This window comes from Homo sapiens, chromosome 17 (assembly GCF_000001405.40).
Source record: "Homo sapiens chromosome 17, GRCh38.p14 Primary Assembly".
NCBI classification, from domain to species: domain Eukaryota; kingdom Metazoa; phylum Chordata; class Mammalia; order Primates; family Hominidae; genus Homo; species Homo sapiens.
The window spans coordinates 64,644,072-64,667,621 of record NC_000017.11 but is presented as its reverse complement, the minus strand read 5'-3'; the positions used below and the strand labels follow the sequence as shown (position 1 = coordinate 64,667,621).

The 23,550-nt window shown below is 42.1% G+C and overlaps 1 protein-coding gene across 2 annotated transcripts in view, besides 3 other annotated features; it reads left to right on the top strand.

The window, feature by feature from the left end:
- Positions 4,463 to 5,021: an enhancer, noted in NCBI's record as "H3K27ac hESC enhancer chr17:62658719-62659277 (GRCh37/hg19 assembly coordinates)". NCBI's record gives its function as "activates a minimal SCP1, AML or CMV promoter by ChIP-STARR-seq in naive H9 embryonic stem cells {active_cell/tissue: H9 hESC(naive)}" and the evidence as "EXISTENCE:reporter gene assay evidence [ECO:0000049][PMID:30033119]".
- Positions 5,172 to 5,571: a silencer, noted in NCBI's record as "silent region_8846". NCBI's record gives its function as "represses an Ori minimal core promoter by ATAC-STARR-seq in GM12878 lymphoblastoid cells {active_cell/tissue: GM12878}" and the evidence as "EXISTENCE:reporter gene assay evidence [ECO:0000049][PMID:35858748]".
- SMURF2 (SMAD specific E3 ubiquitin protein ligase 2) overlaps positions 5,315 to 23,550 on the top strand; it is a 120,026-nt gene continuing 101,790 nt past the window's right edge. For both annotated transcript variants that reach the window (XM_005257585.4, NM_022739.4), the window contains exon 1: positions 5,315 to 5,793. In XM_005257585.4, coding sequence (XP_005257642.1) covers positions 5,742 to 5,793 — 52 coding nt within the window. In that variant the 5' untranslated portion in view covers positions 5,315 to 5,741. The remainder of the gene's footprint in view (positions 5,794 to 23,550) is intronic.
- Positions 5,622 to 5,821: a silencer, noted in NCBI's record as "silent region_8845". NCBI's record gives its function as "represses an Ori minimal core promoter by ATAC-STARR-seq in GM12878 lymphoblastoid cells {active_cell/tissue: GM12878}" and the evidence as "EXISTENCE:reporter gene assay evidence [ECO:0000049][PMID:35858748]".

The following is a 23,550-nucleotide window of genomic DNA, read 5'->3' as shown; positions in this document are numbered from 1 at the left end:
TGTTCACATTGATATATTACATTGATATTGATATTGTTCACGTCATATATATTTGTAGTACAAGGAAGCATTTCTAAAGGACCTTGTTCATTGCTTTGCACAAAATAGCCACTTAATATTTGTTGAATGAATTGCTGGCACTATCTCTGGTGTTTTAATTTTTATTTATTTATGTATTTATTTTTGATATGGAGTCTCACTCTGTCAACCAGGCTGGAGTGCAGTGGCACCATCTCGGCTCACTCAACCTCCACCTCCTAGGTTCAAGAGATTCTCCTGCCTCAGCCTCCCAAGTAGCTGGGGATACATGCATGCGCCACCACGCCTGGCTAATTTTTTTGTATTTTTTTTTTTTTTTTTTTAGTACAGACGTAGTTTCACCATGTTGGTCAGGCTGGTCTCGAACTCCTGACCTCAAATGATCCGCCCGCCTCAGCCTCCCAAAAGTGCTGGAATTACAGGCATGAGCCACTGTGCCTGGCCTATCTCTGGTATTTTTAGTACGATGTCAAGAACTTCATATATTTTTTGGATCACTTTAATTGTAAGGTCGTATCCAGACTGATGAAATGCTCTTGGAGGTAACTATCCTGAGAAGCAACTTCACTGATGCATTAAAAGCAGTGACTGGCATGGAATAAGGATTAAAGTATATTAATCCAAAACATGTAAAATTGCATTAATGTTATAACAACCTAAAGCAAAACTAATAAATCACATAAAAAACTCTCACGTTATTTTCCTTAGTAGTTTACATTGTGCTAGATACTTTTGCATGTACATGCTTACAACTTTTCTTCTGTTTTTAAACTTTGCATTACATATAAATTCTACCATATTATATGATCCTCATAAAAATCGTCGGTTAAATGGCTGCATAAAAAACCATGCGGTTGGCCGGGCGCAGGGGCTCACGCCTGTAATCCTAGCACTTTGGGAGGCCGAGGTGGGCGGATCATGAAATCAAGAGATTGAGACCATCTTGGCCAACATGGTGAAACCCTGTCTCTACTAAAAACACAAAAAATTAGCTGGGCATTGTGGCGCGCGCCTGTAGTCCCAGCTACTCGGAGGCTGAGGTAGGAGAATTGCTTGAACCTGGGAGGCGGAGGTTGCAGTGAGCCGAGATGGCGCCACTGCACTCCAGCCTGGCGACAGAGGGAGACTCCGTCTCAAAAAACAAACAACAACAACAACAACAACAACAAAACCCCAAAAGACCATGCAGTTTACGGATCATTATGCTGTTCCCTCATTTCTTTTTTGTTATTAATGGAATTTAGCAAAGAACATCTTCTGTACTATTACTTATTTTTCAAGAATAGGGCCGGGCGCGGTGGCTCACGCCTGTTATCCTAGCACTTTGGGACACCTAGGCAGGCGGATCACCTGAGGTCAAGAGTTTGAGACCAGCCTGGCCAACATGGTGAAACCCCACCTCTACTAAAAATACAAACATTAGCTGGGGGTGGTGGCAGGTGCCTATAATCCCAGCTACTCCGGAGGCTGAGGCAGGAGAATCACGTGAACTTGGAAGGCAGAGGTTGCAATGAGCCAAGGTCGCACCACTGCACTCCAGCCTGGGTGACAGAGTGAGACTCCAACTCAAAAAATAAAATAAAATAAAATAAAATAAAATAAAATAAAAATGGTGGCTGAATGAATCTCATAGTAATATTTTGATATGTAAAGAATGGTCCTGCTGGGCACAGTGGCTCACGCCTGTAATCCCAGCACTTTGGGAGGCCGAGGAGGGTGGATCACAAGGTCAGGAGTTCGAGACCAGCCTGACCAGCATGGGGAAACCCCCGTCTCTACTAAAAAAAAAAAAAAAAATACAAAAATTAGCCAGGTGTGGTGGTGGGTGCCTGTAATCCCAGCTACTCAGGAGGCTGCGGCAGGAGAATCACTTGAACCCAGGAGGTGGAGGTTGCAGTGAGCCGAGATTGCACCACTGCACTCCAGCCTGGGCAACAGAGTGAGACTCCGTCTAAAAAAAAAAAAAGAATGGTTCTGTTTTCATGTCCAATGCTATTTTCCTTTCCTCAAAGACTTTTACACCTGAATGTATATAATTGATTTTACCTAAGATTCCCATCCCTTAATTTTCCGTCTTATCTTTCCCAAGTTCCGGCTATTAATTTGGTAATTCCCTACATGTTGTCATTATAATGTATATATATCCCCCTTTGGGGACATAAACATATCCCCAAGGGAAGAGAAACACATAAACTTTTTTGTTTTTTTAAACTTTCTAACCCAATCGTCTCTGAAATCTGAGCCTGGACTAGATGAGGCCACTCACTTAAGAGAGGCCTTCAAAATGACTTTCCTATTATGAGTATTCTGTTTTTGAGTGCATTTGTTTTTTGAGGTAGGGTCTTACTCTGTTGCCCAGGCTGGAGTGCAATGGCATAATCATGGCTCACTGCAGCCTCAACCTCCTGGGCTCCAGTGATCCTCCCACCTTGGTCTCCCGAAGTGTGGGGATTACAGGTGTTAGCCACCACGCTCTGCCCCTGTTCTATGTTTTCATTTATTTTACTTCATTTTAAACATTTAGTTACTTTTAAATAAATGTTTACAGTCAATGTCAATATTTAAGATGGCAAGGAAAACAATAAAATGAACATCCATGTACCTGCTTAAAAAAATCATTACCAGTACATTGATTTTCTTTTTATTTTTGTGATAGTCTCAGTATGCTGCCCAGGATGGAATGCAGTGGCACTGGAATGCAGTGGTGTGATCACGGCTCACTGCAACCTTGACCTCCACAGGCTCAGGTGATCCTATCTCAGCCTCCTGAGTAGCTGGGCCTATAGGTGCAGGCCACCACTCCTGGCTAATGTTTTGTAGATACGGGGTTTTGCCATGTTGCCCAGGCTGGTTTCAAACTCCTGGGCTCAAGTGACTCCTCTGCCTCGGCCTCCCAAAGTGCTAGGATTACAGGCATGAGTCACCATGCCCAGCCCTTGAATGGTTTTAGTGTTATTCTTATCTGAATATTTGTTTTAAACAACAGGATTTAACCTTACAAGAAAGCCTAAATACAAACCTCTGCACGTTAACCCTATATACATTTTTCTATGCTGTCACTTACATTTTTTAATTTACTGCTTTCAACTTCAAAACAAGCAGTCTCCCCCAGGTCTCCCATGACGTTCTGAAATCCTAACTTCTATTACCTAATACAAGGCTACAAATTATGTTAGTTGGGTGGTTGGGAACAAAGCGTGCTGTAAAAATAAGGCAAATGTGTATGTGTACATTAGTTTGCTAAGTTTTTTGCCACTGTCTGCCCTCTTAAATTGTGGTAGCAGCTATTGTTCACATTGATTTCTATATATTTGTAGTACAAGGAAGCATTTCTAAAGGACCTTGTTCATTGCTTTGCACAAAATGGCCACTTAATATTTGTTGAATGAATTGCTGGCACTATCTCTGGTATTTTAATTTTTATTTATTTATGTATTTATTTTTGATATGGAGTCTCGCTCTGTCACCCAGGCTGAAGTGCAGTGGCGTGATCTCGGCTCACTGCAACCTCCCGTGTTCAAGCGATTCTCTTGCCTCAGCCTCCCTAATTGCTGGGACCACAGGCATGCGCCACCAGGCCCGGCTAATTTTTTTGTATTTTTTTTTAGTACAGACGGGGTTTCACCATGTTGGCCAGGCTGGTCTCAAACTCCTGACCTCAAATGATCCGCCCACCTCGGCCTCCCAAAGTGTTGGAATTACAGGCGTGAGCCACTGTGCCCGGCCTATCTGTGGTATTTTTAGTGTGATGTCTAGAACTTCATATACTTTTTTGGATTACTTTTAATTGTAGGGCTGTATCCAAACTGATGAAATGTTCTCGCAGGTAACTATCTGGAGAAGTGAGTTCACTGATGTATTAAAAGAAATGACTGGCATGGAATAAGGATTAAAATATATTAATCCAAAACATTTAAAATTGCATTAATGTTATAATAGCCTAAAGCAAAACTAACGAATCACATAAAAAATCCCCCACGCTATTGTCCTTAGTAGTTTACATTGTGCTAGATACTTTCGCATGTATATGCATACAACTTCTATTCTGTTTTTAAACTTTGCATTACATATACATTCTTCCATATTATATGATCTTCATAAAAATAGTTACATGGCTGCATAAAAAACCATGCGGTTCCTGGACTATTATGCTATTCCCTCATTCCCCTTTTGTTATTAATGGAATATAGCAAAGAACATCTTCTGTACGATTATTTGTCAAGAATAGGGCCGGTGCGGTGGCTCAGGTCTGTAATCCCAGCACTTTGGGAGGCCGAGGCGGGCTGATCGCTTGAGGTCAGGAGTTCGTGACCAGCCTGGGCAACATGGGAAAACCTAAACGTCTCTACTAAACATGTCTCTACTAAAAATACAAAAATTAGTGGGGCGTAGTGGTGCACACTGTGGTCTCAGCTACTCCAGAGGCTCAGGTGGGAGGATCACCTGAGCCCCGGAAGTTGAGACTGCAGTGAGCCGTGTTCGCACCACTGCACTCCAGCCTGGGCGACAGAGGGAGACCCTGTCTAAAAACAAAAAAATAAAAAATAAATTTCTAGCAGTACAGTTACAATGTCAAAGGATAAGGTACACATTTTTTAAAAACTTTTCTCTTTCTCCTCCTGAGATAACGAAATACAGTAGCGTATGAACAACTCTTCATACATTACTCTCCAAGGTTTATCTTGTTAATCCTTTAAGACGTATCATCTCCCCATCCTTGGCTGCACCTGAAAAGAGCGGGAGTCGGCAGGTAACCTGATCTCCTCCACCAGGTGAGTCCCGGATGGAGGTGTCAACTACAAGACCAGGAGCAGAGCATTCCTGGGGTTTTGCTGGAACCATCGGCGTGGGAATGCTTTCTCTTCCCTCGCCCGAAAGACGCCAAGTTCCCGGCAGGCAGCGGACTCGGTTCTAACCTTCCTCGCCCCAGCCTCTCGGAGCGCCCTGCACGCAGTGGGCGTCTAATAAAATGCAGTTGGCCCTGCTTGGACAAAAGTTCTCCCTTAAGTGGCCCGGACAGTAAACCCCTCCAGGTGCCACAGAGCTGCCGCGCCCGCCGCCGCTTTGCTCCCTGCCTGCTCCCTCCCAGCGTTCCGCGTGGGACCCTCGGCGGCAGCTCACACCCTCCCTGACTGCCGGTGCCCGCCAGGGCACCCTGCGCGCGCCCGCCGGCCCCGCCCCGGCCCCGCCCCGCCCCGCCGGCCCCGCCTCCCGTCTCCTCCCCGCCCCCCGGAGCCGACGAGTGGCGGCGGCGGCCCCAGGTCCCGGGTCCCTCAGACAAGAGGGCGGGTGGAGGAGGAAGCGGCCGAGCCCAGAGTTCTGCTCCGGCGCCCCCGAGCACCGCCCGCTTCAGCCGACCAGCCCCGTCGGCTACTGGGCCTCGCCGAGACGAGAGGAGGGAAAGGCCTCGGCGGCCGCGAGGAGGCGGCGGGGGCGCGGGCGGAGGCGGCGCGGGCGGCCGCGGCTGCCGCTTTGTTGTGCGGCCCGGGCCGAGGAAGGAGAAGTGGGAGGAGGGGGGAGCTCGGCGTCCCGCTCCCTCCGCGGCTCATGGCGACGACTCTCGGCACATCCGGGACCCTCCGGCCGTGGCGGCCGAGGCGCCGGCTGCTCGGGCCCCAGCCCCGGCCGCTGTGGTGACTCCGCCGCGCCTCGCCGTCGCCCCCGTGCCGCCCGCCGCCCCCGCCGCCCCCGCCGCCGGGGACATGTCTAACCCCGGAGGCCGGAGGAACGGGCCCGTCAAGCTGCGCCTGACAGGTGAGGGGGGGCGGCGGGCCGGGCTGGGCAGCCGCGGGGTGGGCGAGCTGGCGGGGGGTGCCTGTGGCCTTGGGAAGGGCCAGGGTCGCGATCAATGATGAGTTGGGGGTCGGAGGAATGGGAAGGCCTAGTTCAGGGAGAGTAATTGGAAAACCACTTGCTCTGGTTTGGACATTGTTTAAAAAGCCGAGGATGACTCGGGGCGGGGGGTGGTGTTTTGTGGAGGGGAGAATACACCGGTTCGCATCGCAGGCGGATTTCAGGTCGGAAAGTCTTGGTCAAGGAGCCAGACGCTGCCTCCCGGGGCTCGGGGAACAGCCCCTGGGCTACCGCCCAGGTGAGATCGTGAAGGGGATGAAGAGCTCCCGTGGCGAGGATTATTGAATCCGGTTGCTGACTGCGCGCAGTAAACACTCCTTAAAGATGGAGCGCTTAACGGGAGGGTGTGCGTGTGTGTTCCCGGGTTGTTACCTTGCACACACCCAGTTATGCCCGCATGAAAAACCTTTACTCCCCGCCGCCGGCCACCGCTGCCCGGGCCACACACCTTAAACTCATGTCTCTGAGGTGAGGAGACAGGTTGACTTTTCCGGTGTGCCTGTCTGATCCGACGGCTTGGGCTCATTGTACACTGTGTTTTGGAAGTGTCTGATTGTAGGGTGGCATGTTTGGGGTTGTTCCTTTTAGGCCGCAGAACTTGTGTCTAACTTCTAACGCCAGACCTGCTTTAAAAACACACTTTTTTGGGGGGGGTGCATTGCTAAGTATGTGCTCATACAAACTTTCGAGCAAACTTTCTGTTACTCTCCCCACCCTCCCCATTCCTTTTTCGAAATGGAAAAGAATGTCCGGAGGGGTTGCCAGATAGAAGACTACACTTACAAAGTGTTTATGATTCCAGGTGCATGAAATCTTTAACATTACAGGTACGTTTTGCTTACAGTGCCATTTTTGGTATTCTTACATGGACATGCCACCCCCGTTTTAGGAGAACTTTTATTTGGTTTGTAAAGGAATTGGAATCACGGCGTTATCCTACCTTCACCATTTACCCCTGATAAATTGTCCACGTTTGTATTCGGGTGAGTGGTGAGAAAGATAATTTTCCGTAGAGGATTTGTGTGTGCGTGCACGTGTACGGATAAACTGTAATTATGTTTGCCCACACTAGACTTTGAGATTTATTTGGACTAATTTTGTAGTTAAATGCCTGTGTGTCACATCCCAGTCCACTGGCTGAACTTGCTGGATGAAAACTTGCAGTGAATTTGGTATTTGAGAATTTAGCTTGAATGTATGTTGGCTGCAATTTAAATAATATATTACTTTCATGGCAGTTTTCCTTTCCCTAGGGAAAATTGCAGGGAATCATTAACTGAGTGATTCTTAATGGAAAACCTGGATTGGAGGATACTTGTATTCCACCCCCTCCCCCCTCATTCAGTGTCCTTACATTGGGAGGAGTCAGTGGAAACCTTTATAGGGGATCTTTGTTGCTTTAGAGTTTATCTGTTGCTGTTGCTGTCTGTAGTCAGTGATCGTGGAAAGAACATGTGATCCCAGGTGTGCAGAAAGCATCAGAAATAGGCTGTTTCCATTTACCCTCCTCTGGGCTATGTAGAGAAAATGAGGGAAAAAATTGGGTTTTTGATTTTCTGCAGATAAGGTTAGTTGAGGTTTTTAGTATGACTTAATAGATCTTAAAGTGTTTATCTGTGGTTTCCGTACTGCCTATGATACATTATAAGAATTTATAATTAAAGTTTATTAAGAGGAAAGATTATGCTTATATTTTAGGGGAAGGGGGAATATTGAACTACATTTATAGTGATTTTGTTTCAGGTTTTTCTGAGGAATTTTAAATACCCTGTGTCCTCTTAATAGTAAAAACAGTTTGAGGTACTCTGAGTTTCTTACAACTATTTGTCTCTGAATAGTTTTCTCTTAAAATTTGACAAATATTAAAAACATTGTCCTTCCTTCTTTGGTTACAGTGGAGTCTCTTCTGTTTTGCCAGGAAAGTTAACATATTTTTTCTTCCATTTTTGTTCATCATTTATAAATTAGATGGTATAGATTTTAGCAAATAGATCTCAAGAGCTGGATTCAATTAGCAGCTTTTTAGGACATAAACATTAAAGGGTTAGATGGAAAAGATTGTTTTGACTGACTGGATAAATGACAGGGCTGTGTTTGATGTGCGTCCAGGAATTGGTCTGGAGCTGGTGCCCAACTTCTCAGTCCATCTTGAGAAGCCAAATAAAATATTTAACCTAGGCCTCATTTTGTTTAAAAAAAAAAAAAAAAAAAAAGTTGATTCTTTGTGAAGACCTTAAGAAATGTTTGGCATACCTTTAGACTAAGTGTTTAACAGTTCATTTAGATCTGGGTTGCCTAATAGAGGAAAAAAAATCACTTAAAAAAAGACAGATCCCACAGTGAATTTATATTTGGTTTACAATACACTTGGGCTATAAGGTGTTTTAAAATTATTGTTCTTTGCTTTAAGTTAATACCATATTAGTATTTTAAATTTATAGAGTACCTTTGATTTCAAGATGCTGTATAAACTTTAGTTACTTGATAATAACTTTATTGTGGAATTGCCCCTTTGCTGAAAGGTATAAACATTTCTTACATGGTGATGCACACACTCACACACACACACTCACACACTCATACACACTCTCTCTGAAGAAGAGGAAATATTTAAGCCATGAGATCTCTGCCCACAATTGATATTAAACCTTTCCACATATTATTCTTAAAACCACAATCAGTGAACTGTTTGGTATTTGTCAATGCTAAGAAGGTGGGGCTAATTTAATAATTTGATCCCAAATTTTAGATTCCTCAGGCAGTTGGGGGTTAGAATCTGATTTCATCCATCAAGCTACTTCTGTTCTTTATGACACATTAACATATGATCATTGAAATGGGCTGTATGGTAACACTATCAACTTCAACTACTGTTTCTATAACATTGATTACAAAATGTATAATGTCTATATCATTATACTTATATCTGATACAGGCTTTTCTTTCAATGGTTTGGATAGAAAAATATTCTTTACAGTAAAAACTTTGGGATAATTTTTTATACCATTATTGTTTCTGAAAACCAAAGGCTGGAAAAAGCAGTTTAGTGTAATTTCTAATATTTTAAATTCTTAGGTATGGAGAAGCAGAATAAGATTACTCCTCCAGAACATTTGTTTCAGACCTTTTTATACATTTAATGTTTTTGTATGCTGCTTCTCATGTTATTAATTTCAAAGCCCTTGGCAATAAGGAGGTTAACCTTGTCTATAATGTAAGGAAGTTTAACTTTAAAAATTTCCCTTTAGATATGCTAGCGTCTTAATCTTGTTTCACTACATATTTTATCGATTCAAGGCTTTAAAAATTGTAGCTTAATTCTATTTCACAGGTTTTTAAGTATGCCTATACATCATAATGACTTTATTTATTTATTTTTTGAGTTGGAGTTTCACTCTTGACTGGAGTTGAAGGGCTTGATCTCGGCCCACTGCAACCTCCACCTCCCGGGTTCAAGTGATTCTCCTGCCTCAGCCTCCCGAGTAGGTGGGATTACAGGCGCCCACCACCACGCCTGGCTGGTTTTTTTTGTATTTTTAGTAGAGACGGGTTTTGCCACGTTGGCCAGGCTGGTCTCAAACTCTGGACCTCAGGTGATCCGCCCGCCTTAGCCTTCCAGTGTGCTGGGATTACAGGCATGAGCCACGGCACCCGGCCCATAATGACTTTATATACTAGAGGTGTTAGTGATTTGAATGTCCCCAATTTGTTTTATTTTCTTGGTTTCTGAGGAGGAAGCCAGTGTAGTTGAGCTCCTTCCTTTTCTTTTAAATTCTGTCTTCTAGTCTGACCCTCTTCAGGCAGGCAGTAGAACATGCCAAGGTCCTTTTTGTAGTTTGGTATTCGTAATAAAGTCTGTGTATTTTAGTCATCACTTTTACTTTTTTCTTGTTGGTTGAGCTATTACTATCACAACATACTAACATCTCATTTAACATAACTCAGTTTTAAAGATAAATGAAGGGTCATGCTTAGGCATACAAGATTTTTATTTTAGCCTTTTTTTTTTTTGAGGCAGAATCTCATTCTGTTGCCCACACTGGAGTGCAGTGGCAACAGCGTGCAGTGAGCAATCCCGGCTTACTGCAGCCTTGACCTCCCGGCTCAGGTGATTTTCCCACCTTGGCTTCCCAACTGGCTGGGACTACAGGTCCATGCCACTGTGACTGGCTGATTTTTTTACCTTTTTTTTTTTTTTCCAGTACAGATGGGGTTTCTCCAGGTTGCCCAGGCTGGTCTTGAACTTCTGTGCTCAGGAGATCCTCCTGCCTCAGCCTTCCAAAGTGCTGGGATTACAGGTGTGAGCCACCATGCCTGGCCTATTTGAGCCTTTTTTGGTGAGAGTCTTAAAGACGTAATATGTCCTCCTCTTTTCAAATAGACCATACTTAGTAGAACTTAATGTTTTATTCATGACTCAGTATAATTATGAATGCCCTCGCCCCTAGCAATACTTGCCCATCTTTTAAGGCTCAACTCAAAGATTACTGTTATCCCTAGAACTTTCCCTGACCTGAGTTGAACTGTCCTCTATGACTCTAAGAAGCTCTTCTAGTACCAGACCTAACCCACTGGTAGGCGTTTATTGTTCCTATGCTTTAAGTGCCATGAAGCCAGCATCCTTGTGTGAGTATGGATTAAGACCTTTTTGGCATTTTATTTAATGAATGCTGGAGAGCTATAAATACTTCCGAATAGTTCTGCATGTGTTCTTTATGGCTAATGCATTGGGTATGAGTGGCAAGAGGTGAGGCTCTAGACAGGGACCAACCTAGTTTGGACCTTACTGTAGTTTGCCAAGATGTTCATTTTTTTTAAGGTGGGGGGAACCATTGCAGGATTTTAAGCTTTAATATATTTGCTGTTTAGACACAATCTGGGAGCAGTATGGAGGATGGACTGGAATGGGAACCATGAAGACTGGTTTTAGGATAACTGGTTAAGCAGATTCAACAGCAACCATCGTTCAGATTTTTTTGTTTGAATGTTTATTTCCAAATTTTTTATTACAAATAATTGCTGTAAACATCTTGGTGTAGGTAACTTTGATTTTTTTTTTAAGGATTCTTTTTTTTTAGGATGCTTCCATAAAAATAGTGTTACTGAGTTCAAGTGTGTGGATATTTTTAAGGTTTCATGAGTAATTTTTCCTTTAGGCTGCTTCTTACAAGAGTTGGACCTATTTAGAGCAGCAGTAAATAAAGATGTCCCTTTTTACTATTCTGTTATAAGTATAAGCTAATTGCATTTTACATTTTTTGCTAATTTCATGGCATGTGCCATTTAAACATTCGTGAAGCAGAATATTTTCCTGTCTGTTTACTAATGATATTTATTTTCATTGACTTGTTTGGCCTTGTCCTAGTTATGTTAGAGCCTTAGTGTTTTTCTTATTGATCTACCTGAGACTTACAAATATATTAACCTGTTGTCATATTTGCTACAAACATTTCCATGATGAATTATTTGTCTTTTAATATTGTTCATTGTTTGGACATGTAGAAATGTGTTATCTTAGGAGTCAAAATCTGTCCAACTTTTGTTTTGTTTTTCCTATTCTATACTTGGAAGAACTTATTCTCCAAGAAGTTTGATAAATAAGTACATTATATTTAATGTTTTTAAAAAATGGTTTAATAAACTATTTCCCCTGCAATTGCTATTTAGCCATCTTGTCATTATTTATTAACCAATTCTTCCTTTCCACAGTGATGTAGTATCTTTTCAGTTATATTAGTTATAGAGTCAGATATAGCTCTTGTTCAGTGCCATACTGTTTTTTTTATTGTAGCTTTATAATTTAGTTTAGTATTCTCACTAGGCCAGTTTTTTAAAGAGACGGAGTCTCACTCTGTCACTCAGGCTAGAGTACAGTGGCGTGATCTTGGCTCACTGGAGCCTCTGACCCCTGGGTTCAAGTGATTCTCCTGCCTCAACCTCCCTAGTAGCTGGGATTACAGGTGCATGCCACCACTCCCAGCTAATTTTTTTTTGTATTTTTTTTGGGTGGAGATGGGTTTACACCATGTTGGTCAGATTGGTCTCGAACTCCTGACCTCAAGTGATCTGCCCACCTTGGCCTCCCAATTTCTTTTCATTTGTTTTGGTAGTCTTATTTTTTTCTTCCACATAAATATTAAACTTGTTAAGTTTAATAAGAAGTTTCATTGGGGCCGGGCATGGTGGCTCACGGTTGTAATCCTTGGACTTTGGGGAGGCTGAGGATGGTGGATCATCTAAGGTCAGGAGTTTGAGACCAGCCTGGCCAACATGGTGAAACCCTGTCTCTACTAATAATACAAAAATTAGTTGAGTGTGGTGGCACATACTTGTAATCCTAGCTACTGGGGAGGCTGAGTCACAAGAATCGCTTGAACCTGGGAGGTGGAGGTTGCAGGCGAGATCATGCCACTGCACTCCAGCCTGGGCGACAGAGTGAAACTGTGTCTCCAAAAAAAAAAAAAAAAAAAAAAAAAAGACATTTCATTGGGATTGTCATTAGAATTGCTTTACTTTGGGAAAAAGAAGTATCTAAGTTTATTTAGTTTTCTCACCCAGGAACATGATATGTTTTTTACATTTATTTAAGCTTTGGCCCATATTGTTCAGGATAGCTTTATAATTTTCTTCCTGTGTTTGAATTTAATTTCAGATAATTTATATTTGTGTGATTTACGTTGTGTTTTCTAATCCTAGTTATTGCTTGTATTTAGGAATGCAGTTATATGTATTTTGCTTGATTAGAAGAATTTTGGCTGGGTGTGGTGACTCACGCCTGTTATCCCAGCACTTTGGGAGGCCAAGATGGGAGGATCACTTGAGCCCAGGAGTTCGAGACCAGCCTGGGCAACATAGTGAGACCTCATCTCTATATTTATTTATTTATTATTATTATTTTTTGATACTGAGTTTTGCTCTTGTTGCCCAGGCTGGAGTGCGATGGCGCCATCTCGGCTCACTGCAACCTCTGCCTCCTGGGTTCAAGCGATTCTCCTGCCTCAGCCTCCTGAATAGCTGGGATTATAGGCATGTGCCACCGCGCCCGGCTAATTCTGTATTTTTAGTAGAGATGGGGTTTCTCCATGTTGGTCAGGCTGGTCTCAAACTCCTGACCTCAGGTGATCCGCTTGCCTCGGCCTCCCAAAGTGCTGGGATTACAGGCATGAGCCACCGCACCCAGCTGATGGCTGGTTTTCTAGGTGTCAGTGTTTGGTACTTGTTACAGTTGAATGTTAACACTTAAAATTTTTCTTTTCTCTCGGATTTCTCTCCAACATATAAGTAGTTGAACAAAGTGAGAAATTTTATTTCATTAAAAATTTTTTAAATACGAGCAGTCTTCTGAACAAGAATAGTTTCAGACCAACTCTGTTTTAGAATAGCTTCTGATGGCATTGGCTACCTTTTTTAAAACCACATTTGATATTATATTAAAAAGTGTCAACAGATAATCTGAAGTTTGGCAGTTTGGTTTGGTTTTGTACAAAAATTGGTAGCAGACATAAAGTTTAAATTTTTAAATAAACCTCGATGATTCATTTTTAGGGAGGAATTACCACGTGGATGATTGCAATCATGCAATGTTCTTCCCATTTCTTCCCAAAAAGTTTCTTCCCAAAACATTTTCTCTTACCTCTTTGTAGCCAGTTGTCTTCTTCAATACCGAGAACTTGTCAACCACTGATCTGTTTTCGGTCACTATAATTTTGCCTTTTCTAGGATTTTGAGTAAATGGAATCATACTGTCTGCAGTCTTTTGGGTGAGGCTTCTTTTAGCGTAATGCTTTTGAGATCCATTCATGCTGGGTATCAGTACTTTGTTCCTTTTCATTCCTGAGGAATACTGCATTGTACACCAATTTGTTTATCCATTTATAAATATCTGCAGACATTTGTTGTTTCCAGTTTTTGGCCATTACGAATAAACATTTGAGTACATGGCTCTTTGTGAACATGTTTTTCTTGCCCTTGGGTAAATGAGTGGGATTGTTGCATCATACAGAAAGTATGCATTTTAACTTTTTAAAAATCTGCTGGGCGGATTGCTTGAGCCCAGGAGTTTGAGACCAGCCTGGGCAACATGGCAAAACTCCGTCTCTACAAAAAATACAGAAATTGGTCGGGTGTGGCCTGTGCCTGTAGTATCAGCTACCTGAGAAGCTGATGGAGGATTGATTGGGCCTGGGAAGTTAAGGCTGCGGTGCTGTGCTCACACCACTGCATTCTAGTGTGGGTGACTCTGTCTCAAAAAAAAAAATTTTTTTTTTTTCAAAGTTGTACCATTTTGCATTTCTACCAGCATTGTATGAGTTTCAGTAGTTCCTCATCCTAGTCAGCACTTGATACTGTCTTTGATTTTAGCCATTCTAATTGGTAGGTACAGATATTTCATGGTACTTTAATTTTTACTTCCTTAATAACCTACAGTTTTAAGCACATTTTAATGGACTTATTTATTGTCCATATAATCTTTGGTGAATATCCAAATCTTTTGTTCATGTTTTAAAATTGGATTGTTTTCTTATTGAGTTTTGAGAATTCTTTATGTATTCTGGATATAAGCCTTTTATGAGATATATACTTTGCAAATATTTTCTCCCGGACTGTAGCTCCCCCACCGCCCCCCAAAAGATGTCCCAAAGAGAAGAAGTTTTGAATGCTGATGAAACCTGTTTATCAGTGTTTTTCTTTTGTGGTTCATGTTTTTTGAGTCCTAAGTCTTTTTCTAACCCAGAGTTCTAAAGATTTTCTCTGTGTTTTCTTCTGCATTATTTATAATTTTAACTCATACATTTAAACTTATTTTCAAGTTAATTTTTTAATATGCTGTGAGAAGTAAGTGTCATGATTTTTTTTTCATATGGATATTCTATTTTTGTAGCCCTATTTGTTGAAAATACTTTTGTTTCCTCCATTGAATTGTCTTGGCACCTTGGTAGAAAATCAGTTGACAGGCCAGGTGCGGTTGCTCATGCCTATTCTTTGGGAGGCCGAGGCAGGAGGCTCACATGAGGTCAGGAGTTCTAGACCAGCCTGGCCAACATGGCAAAACCCCGTCTCTACTAAAAATAAAAAATTAGCCAGGTGTGTGGCAGGTGCCTGTCATCCCAGCTACTCGGGAGGCTGAGGCAAGAGAATCACTTGAACCCAGGAGGTGGAGGTTGCAGTGAGCTGAGATTGTGCCACTGCACTCCAGCCTGGGCGACAGAGCGAGATTCTGTCTCAAAACAAACAAACAAACAAATCAGTTGACAGTATACATAGAATTCTATTTCTGGACTCTCCTGTGTTTTCTTTATGATTCTACCCTTTAAGTTTATTTGTTTTAACACTATGCTGTCTTGATTACTATAGCTTTAAAATAAAGCAGCTTTCAAACAAATTGAGTCTTTGATTTAGGATCTTGTAGTGCTTTGGAGCGGCTGTTTAATTTGTTCAGCCAATAAGTATTTATCATTTTTGATCTGTGACAGATATTATTTTTATTACGTGGTGCCATAAATGCAGATATAAGAAATTAGGAAAAGCCTAGATTGGGCCCTGTAGTTTTCCTTTCAGAATTTCTATTATGAACCTTACATTTTAAAATTATTAGTCTTTTTCATCTCTTACTGATGTGATGAAAGAGGATTGCAACAACCATGACTTAACGTAAGTGTCTGTTTACCAGCTATCAGTCATGTTTTTGGAAAAAGGTGGGATATAAAGAATAAACATATCTAAAATGTGACCATAGAAAAGAAAGGAGGTGATTGGTGTGTTAAGTGTGGGTTGGATTATGAGTATTTATCGTTTTTGCTTGTATTATTATTTTTGTGACAGGGTCTCTGTCACCCAGGCTGCAGTGCAGTGGCACAATCAGAGCTCACTGCGATCTTGAACTGGGCTCAAGTGATCCTCCCGCCTCAGCCTTCTGAATAGCTGGGTTACAAACATCCATCACCGTGCCCAGCTAATTTTTTTATTTTTTGTAGACATGGGGCCTCACTGTGTTACCCAGGCTGGTCTTGAACTCCTGGCCTCAAGTGATCCCCTGCCTTGGCTTTCCAAAGTGCTGGGATTACAGGTCTGAGCCATTGCTGCGCCTGGCCTGTTTTTGCTTGCATTATTTTATGTGTATATTTTTTCTTTTCTTTTCTTCTCTTTTTTTTTTTTTCTGAGGTAGGGTCTTGCTCTGTCGCCCAGGCTGGAATGCAGTGGCACGATCTTGGCTCACTGCAACCTCCACCTCCTGGGTTCAAGCAGTTCTTCTGCCTTGGCCTCTGGAGTAGCTGGGACTACAGGCGCGCGCCACCATGCCCGTGTAATTTTTATATTTTTAGTAGAGACAGGGTTTCACCATGTTGCCAGGCTGGTCTTGAACTCCTGACATCAAATGATCCACCCGCCTCAGCCTCCCAAAGTGTGGGATTACAGGCGTGAGCCACCGCGCCCAGCTTTATGTGTATATTTTTTCTCCAAGGCAAAAGAAAGGAAGAAACTTAATTTTATTAAAATGTAAGCATATATATATACACAAAAATATATATATTTCTGAGACAGCCTTGCTATGTCGCCCAGGCTGGAGTGCAATGGCGCGATCTCAGCTCACTGCAACCTCCGCCTCCTGGGTTCAAGTGATTCTCCTGCTTCACCCTCCCAAGTAGCTGGGATTACAGGCACCCGCCACCATGTATTTTTAGTAGAGACAGGGTTTTGCTGTGTTGGCCAGGCTGTTCTTGAATTCCTGACCTCAGGTGATCAGCCTACCTCGGCCTCCCAAAGTGCTGGGATTACAGACGTGAGCCGCCGCGCCCAGCCAGCAGATTTTTTTTTTTTTAACCACCGTGCATTCCTAGGCACTGTCACAAAGCAGAAATCCATAATGTAGATCTCATTTTCTATGTAAGATATACTTGGTAATTTTGTTTTTTTGAGACACAGTCTCACTGTATTGCCCAGGCACGATCTCCACTCACTGCAACCTCAGCCTCTCAGGTTCAAGCAATTCTCCTGCCTCAGCCTCCCCAGTAGCTGGGATTACAGGTGCCTGCCACTACACCCAGCTAATTTTGTATTTTTAGTAGGCATGAGGTTTCACCATGTTGGTCAGGCTGGTCACGAACTCCTGACCTCAAGTGATCCGCCCACCTCGGCCTCCCAAAGTGCTGGGATTACAGGCATGAGCCACTGTGCCTGGTCATTTTATGAGAGGTAGTCAGAATGTTGTGGAGAGTATAGAATTGGAGGCAGAAAATGTGAGTTCGTATCCTAGTTATGCCATGTATAAGCTTTGTGCATCTAAGCAAATCACTTATTTTCTCTGTGCTTGTGCCTTTAGTTATAAATGCATGCTTAAAATGACAGCGTTAAAACCAGGTGTGAAAATACCAAAAAAAAAAACAAAAAACAAAAAACCCGTGTGATGGTGTGTGCCTGTAATCCCTGCTGTCTAGGAGGCTGAGACTGGAGGATTGCTTGAGCTCAGGAGTTCGAGACCAGCCTGGGCAACATAGTGAGACATGGTCTCAAAAAAAAAAAAAAAAGGCAAGTCTTATTTATTTTAGCAATATGATGGAATAATGTACATGAAAGATACTGTTCAAGGTGTAAAGTTTTTTGTAAACGTACTTTGTCATTTTTGACCACGGATTTTGTTTTAAAGAAATTGGTGAAAACCGATTATATTTTATAAGAGCAGGTACGACATTAATAATGATTAATATATATTTATTTAAATGATACATGTCTTTTAAAGTAAGCATTTTGGATTGAAATCCTAGCTAGGCAAGAAAAAAAAGGCATAAATGTCTTGTATCAGCATATCATGAAGTATTCATATAATGAAATATAATTAGGTATTTATGTTTCAATATTTTAATCAAATATTTTCAATATTTTATTTTTGAGATGGTGTCTCGCTCTGTCACTCAGGCTGGTGTGCAGTGGTGCAATCTCAGCTCACTGCAACTTCTGCCTCCCTGGCTTAAGCAGTTCTCCCACCTCAGCCTTCCCAGTAGCTGGGACTACAGGCACGCACCACCATGCCTGGCTAATTTTTTGTATTTTTAGTAGAGACAGGGTTTCACCATGTTGGCCAGGTTGTTTCTCAAACTCCTTATCTTAAGTGATACGCCCGTTGCAGCCTCCCAAAGTGCTGGGATTACAGGCATGAGCCACTGCACCCGGCCTCAATATTTTAAATATTTAAAAATATATTTTTATAAACCATTTTTATCTTAATATGGCAGCCATTTAACCGATTAACTATACTTCTCTGTTCCTTCCATCCCCCAATGTTTGGTAAGAAGTAGAAGATGGCTCAGGATTTTGGAGTTGGATTGTAGATTGGGGAGCTGTTTGGATGAACTCTTTATGACTTGATAAATTCCTCTGTAGCATGCTGGCGCTTTCAAAAGTAGCCTGTAGCGTCACCTCTTGCCAGTAGATGGGGGTATTTCTGCACTGATAGATGTCAGGGTATGTAAAAACCTGTAAAACTGAAACCCAAAGTCTAAATGAGTGTGCTTGGAATAAATGGTGTTGAAGAGTTAGAAACTGAAAATTTGACTCCAATGTGTAATGAAAAATCATACTTTAGTGTGAGCTTTCTTATGTAAACTCTTTAAATGCTACATGTTGTAGGAGTAGATAGTAGAGTTGCAAACATTAGTAATTCTGTTTTTATTTTTGTGATTTTTGTGTCATCAGGCTTTACATGTAACTTTCTTCCTCCAGTGAAGAAGAAAACACTGATTGGTTGGTAAGATTATTCAGAATTGTATGAATCTAATACCATAAATAAGGTTGATAGAGATTTTTTACAGTTGAACTTGGGGAATTTTGTAGAGAAAGAAGGATGGAAAAAAAACTATAAGGAAAAGTAAAACGGCATTTGATAGATTCAAAATACCATCTCTAACATAGTGCTGCATATGTAGTACTTCAATAAATTGTGTGTGTGTGTGTGTTTTGTTTTTTGTTTTTGTTTTTGTTTGAAACAGGGTCTCACTCTGTCGCTCAGGCTTATGGCTCACTATAGCCTTGACCACCTGGGCTCAAGTAATCCTCCTGCCTCTGCCTCCTGAGTAGCTGAGACTATAGGTATGTGGCACCATGCTGGTGTAATTTTTAAATTTTTTGTAGAAATGGAGTCTCATTATGTTGCCCAGGCTGGTCTCAAACTCCTGGCTTCAAACAGTCCTCCAGTCTTGACCTCCCAGAATGCTGGAGTTACATGTGTGAGCCATTTGTGAATTAAAGAATGATGAAATTGAAAACAGGCTTTCGTGATCTCAGGGACCTCAGTTGAAACAAATAAGATCTCTCTTTGTGATGTCATTATTGAATTAACTAACATTTATACCTTAGTAATTTCAACATCATTAAGTTATAAAGATATAGGACTGAAGTGTTCATTTGTTAATATTTGACTTGATGGATAGAACTGTTTTACCACACTGCAAATTTTGCTGCTTAACAAAATGAAGATCACTAACATTCACTGGAATAAAATCTGTTGCTGGATTATCATCTAAGAAAAGTCACATGTAAGTAGTCTGTCAATGTTAGGAAGATAATTTAACATTTTTTTTTAGAGTTCTATGGTTTTAAGATATTCTCATTTATTGTCTCATTTAATTACTATTGAGATCCTGTTTTTTTTTTTTTTTTTTTTTTTTTTTTTTTTTTAAGAGATAGGGTCTCACTGTGTTGCCCAGGCTGGAGTGCAGTGGCATGATCGTAGCTCACTTACAGCCTGGAACTCCTAGGCTCAAGCAGTCTTCCTGCTTCAGCCTCCTGAGTAGCTAGGACAATAGTTGCTCACCACTGTGCCTGGCTAATTAAGAAAAAAAGTTTTTAAGGACTGGGTCTCACTGTTGCCCAGGATGGTCTTGAACTCTGGGTTTCAAGCAGTCCTCTCACCTCAGCCTCCCTGGTAGCTGGAATTACAGACATGAGCCACTGTGTCTACCAAGGTGTCTTTGTAGGTAATCTGAACCAGTGAAAGTGAAATGAGCACCTTTTATCTGACGAAATTTGTTCCCTAAATCTTTTTTTTTTTTTTTTTAGACAGAGTCTTACTCTGTCACCCGGGCTGAAGTGCAATGGCATGATCTCGGCTCACCGCAACCTCCCCCTCCTGGGTTCAAGCGATTTGCCTTCATCAGCCTCCGGAGTAACTGGGATTACAGGTGCCTGCCACCACCATGCTTGGCTAATTGTTGTATTTTTAGTAGAGACAGGGTTTCACCATGTTGGCCAGGCTGGTCTCAAGCTCCTGACCTCAGGTCCGCCCGCTTCAGCCTCCCAGAGTGCTGGGATTACGGGTGTGAACCACCGTACCCGGCCTCTATTCCAGTTCTTTAGAAATGAGGATAGATGTACCAAAAGTTCATTGTGATAAAATTTGAAGCTTCATATATTTTAGTTTTCTCTTTCCCAGTTTCTTCTGATTTTTTTTTCTTTTTTTTTCAGTTTCTTCTGATTTCCAGCTTAGTTAACCCCTAATTGTATTTTTTCTAGCAAGGAAGAAGACTAAGAATAATGATGAAATATGCTCATATTTACATATTCATTCAGTAAACATTTGCTGGGAGTCTTACATGCACCTAACACTGAGATGTAGGCTCTAGGATTTTAAGAAGAGGTTAAGACCTTTATCTTGCTTTCAGGGAACTTGCAGGTAACCAAACAGATAAGACTTGATGGATGAAATAACCACAGTCAGTGCTAGAGTTAATGGTGTATGCAGTAAGGGTGAAATAAAATAATGAAAGCCCATAGGTATTTCTAAGGGGGCTTTCTAGATTCTACGATTGATCTTTCATATTTTCTACCTTCCACTTTACAAAGAAAGGCACATTAGCCAGACATCCCAAATAGTACATTGTGGTGAGAGGCCTTCCACACCACCAGAGAGACAAATCAGAATGTTGGTGAGAAGGCAGTGATATCAATGACTGGGTAGCATCTTTTCATAAGTCAGGCATATTTCTCTCTGTAGTTTTCAACAAAATTGAAGGACTTGATCAAGTTTTAGCTGGTCATTAAAAATAATTTTTATAGGGCCAGGAGTGGTGGCTCATGCCTGTAATCCCAGCACTTTGGGAGGCTGAAGGGATGGATCGCTTGAGCTCATGAATTCGAGACCAGCCTGGGCAACATGGTGAAACTCCATCTCTACAAAAACTACAAAAATTAGCCTGGTGTGTGGTGCATACCTCTAGTCCCAACTACTTGGGAGGCTGAGGTGGGAGGATGGCTCGAGCCCAGCAGGCAGAGGTTGCAGTGAGCCGAGATGGTGCCACTGCACTCCAGCCTGGGCGATAGAGCCAGACCTTGTCTCAATTTAAAAAAAAAAAAAAAGAAAGAAAAAAAAAAAGAAAAATTCCAGTGGCTCATGCCTATAATCCCAGCACTTTGGGAGGCTGAGGCGGGCAGATCACTTGAGGTCAGGAGTTCAATACCAGCCTGGCCAATGTGGTGAAACTCTGTCTCTACCAAAAATACAAAAATTAGTTGGGCATGGTGGTGTGCGCCTATAATCCCAGCTACTCGGGAGGCTGAGACATGAGAATTGCTTGAACCTGGAGATGGAGGTTGCAGTGAGCTGAGATGGCACCACTGCACTCCAGCCTAGGCAACAGAGCGGGACTCCATCTCAAAAAAAAAAAAAATTATAAGAAATAGTGAAGTCAAATGCCATTTCCCAGAAAGTTTTTTAAAATTATAGATCTTGGTAATTTTTTTTGGCATCTAACTCAAAGAATTTAATGGCATTGCTGTAACAAAACTTCTTTCATTACCTACTTATTTATGTGAATAGGTTTTCTTAGCATTTATATGTATAAAATGAAAAATGGGATTAGAATTTATGTTGTACCCTCATTCCAGCAATAAGTAATAGTCATTAATAGACACATGAAGTAATTGAAAGTAAGAAAACCCCATCCATCTCATTAAGAGATGCATGTCCACCTGGGTGTGGTGGCATATGTCTGTAATCCCAGCTACTCATAAGGCTGAGGCAGGAGGGTTGTTAAGCCTAGGCGTTTGAGACCAGCCTGGCAACATAGCGATACCCTGTCTTGAATTTAAAAACAAACAAAAAGGAGACATGCATGTCCAATTATTCTCTTCCTTGTCTTCCTCCCCACTTTTCTATTTTTCTTAATTATTTTTTTAGGGACAAGTTCTCACTGTGTTGCCCAGGCTGATGTGTACTAGTGTTCACAGGTGTGAACATAACACACTGCAGCCTTAAACTCATGGGCTCAACCTATCCTCCTGCCTCAACCTCCAGAGAAGCTGGGACTACAGCTGTACACCACTGTACCTGATACCCCTCTCCCTTTTTGAGTAAGTGGTTTGTTTAATCAGAATCCGGAAGAGGTCTACACATTGTATTGGGTTGGTATGTCTCTTAATTATCGTTTAAACTATAGCTTTCTCTTTTCTTCCTCTGAATTTTCTTTTTCTTCAAATTTATTTATTATAGAAAACAGATTTATTAAATATATCAGCATCTCAAAACTCTTTATCATTTGGCCCTAGCCTTCCCATCATACCACTGTGTTCTACCACTCTGAACTCCTTGTCTTTTCTTAAATTTCATAATCTCTTGTATCTCCAAGTTTTTGACAGTGCTGTTGCCTTAGATGATGCTGTTACCCATCTTCCTCCTTCCCCACCTAGTCTTCCTGTCGAATCTACTCAGCACTTTGTTTTGTTTTTTTTTTTTGAGACAGTCTTGCTCTTGTTATCCAGGCTGAAGTGCAGTGGTGTGATCTCGGCTCACTGCAACCTCTGCCTTCTGGGTTGAAGCGGCTCCTGCCTCAGCCTCTTGAGTAGCTGGAATTACAGGCGCCTGCCACCATGCCTGGCTAATTTTTGTGTATATGTATATTTTTAGTAGAGACAGGGTTTCACCATGAGACAGCTTCCCAAGTAGCTGGGATCACAGGCACGCCACCATGCCCAGCTAATTTTTGTCTTTTTGGTAGAGTTGGAGTTTCGCCATGTTGGCCAGGCTGGTCTCAAACTCCTGATCTTAGGTGATCCGCCCGTCTCAGCCTCCCAAAGTGCTGTGATTACAGGCGTGAGCCACCATGCCTGGCTACTCAGCATTTTTTTTTTTTTCTTTTTTTTTTTGAGACAGAGTCTTGCTCTTGTCACCTAGGCTGGAGTGCAGTGGTTTGATCATGGCTTACTGCAGCCTGGACCACCCAGGCTCAAGCATTCCTCCTGCCTCAGCCTCCTGAGTAGTTGGGACTATAGGTATGTGCCACCATACTTGGCTAATTTTTTTTTTTTTTTTCTATTTTTAGTAGAGATGAGGTTCTGATGTGTTGCCAAGGCTGGTCTCAAACTCCTGAGCTCAATTAGATCTTCCTGCCTTAACCTCCTAAATTGTTGGGAGTACAGGCATGAGCCACCAAGCTTGGTGCTCCAGTTTTAAGACATAGCTGAGGCTGGGCGCGGTGGCTTATGCCTGAAATCCCAGCGCTTTGAAGGCTGAGGCAGGTGGATTGCCTGAGCAACATGGTGAAACTCCGTCTCTACAAAAACTGCAAAAATTAGCCTGGTGTGTGGTGCGTACCTGTAGTCCCAACTACTTGGGAGGCTGAGGTGGGAGGATGGTTTGAGCCCAGCAGGCAGAGGTTGCAGTGAGCCAAG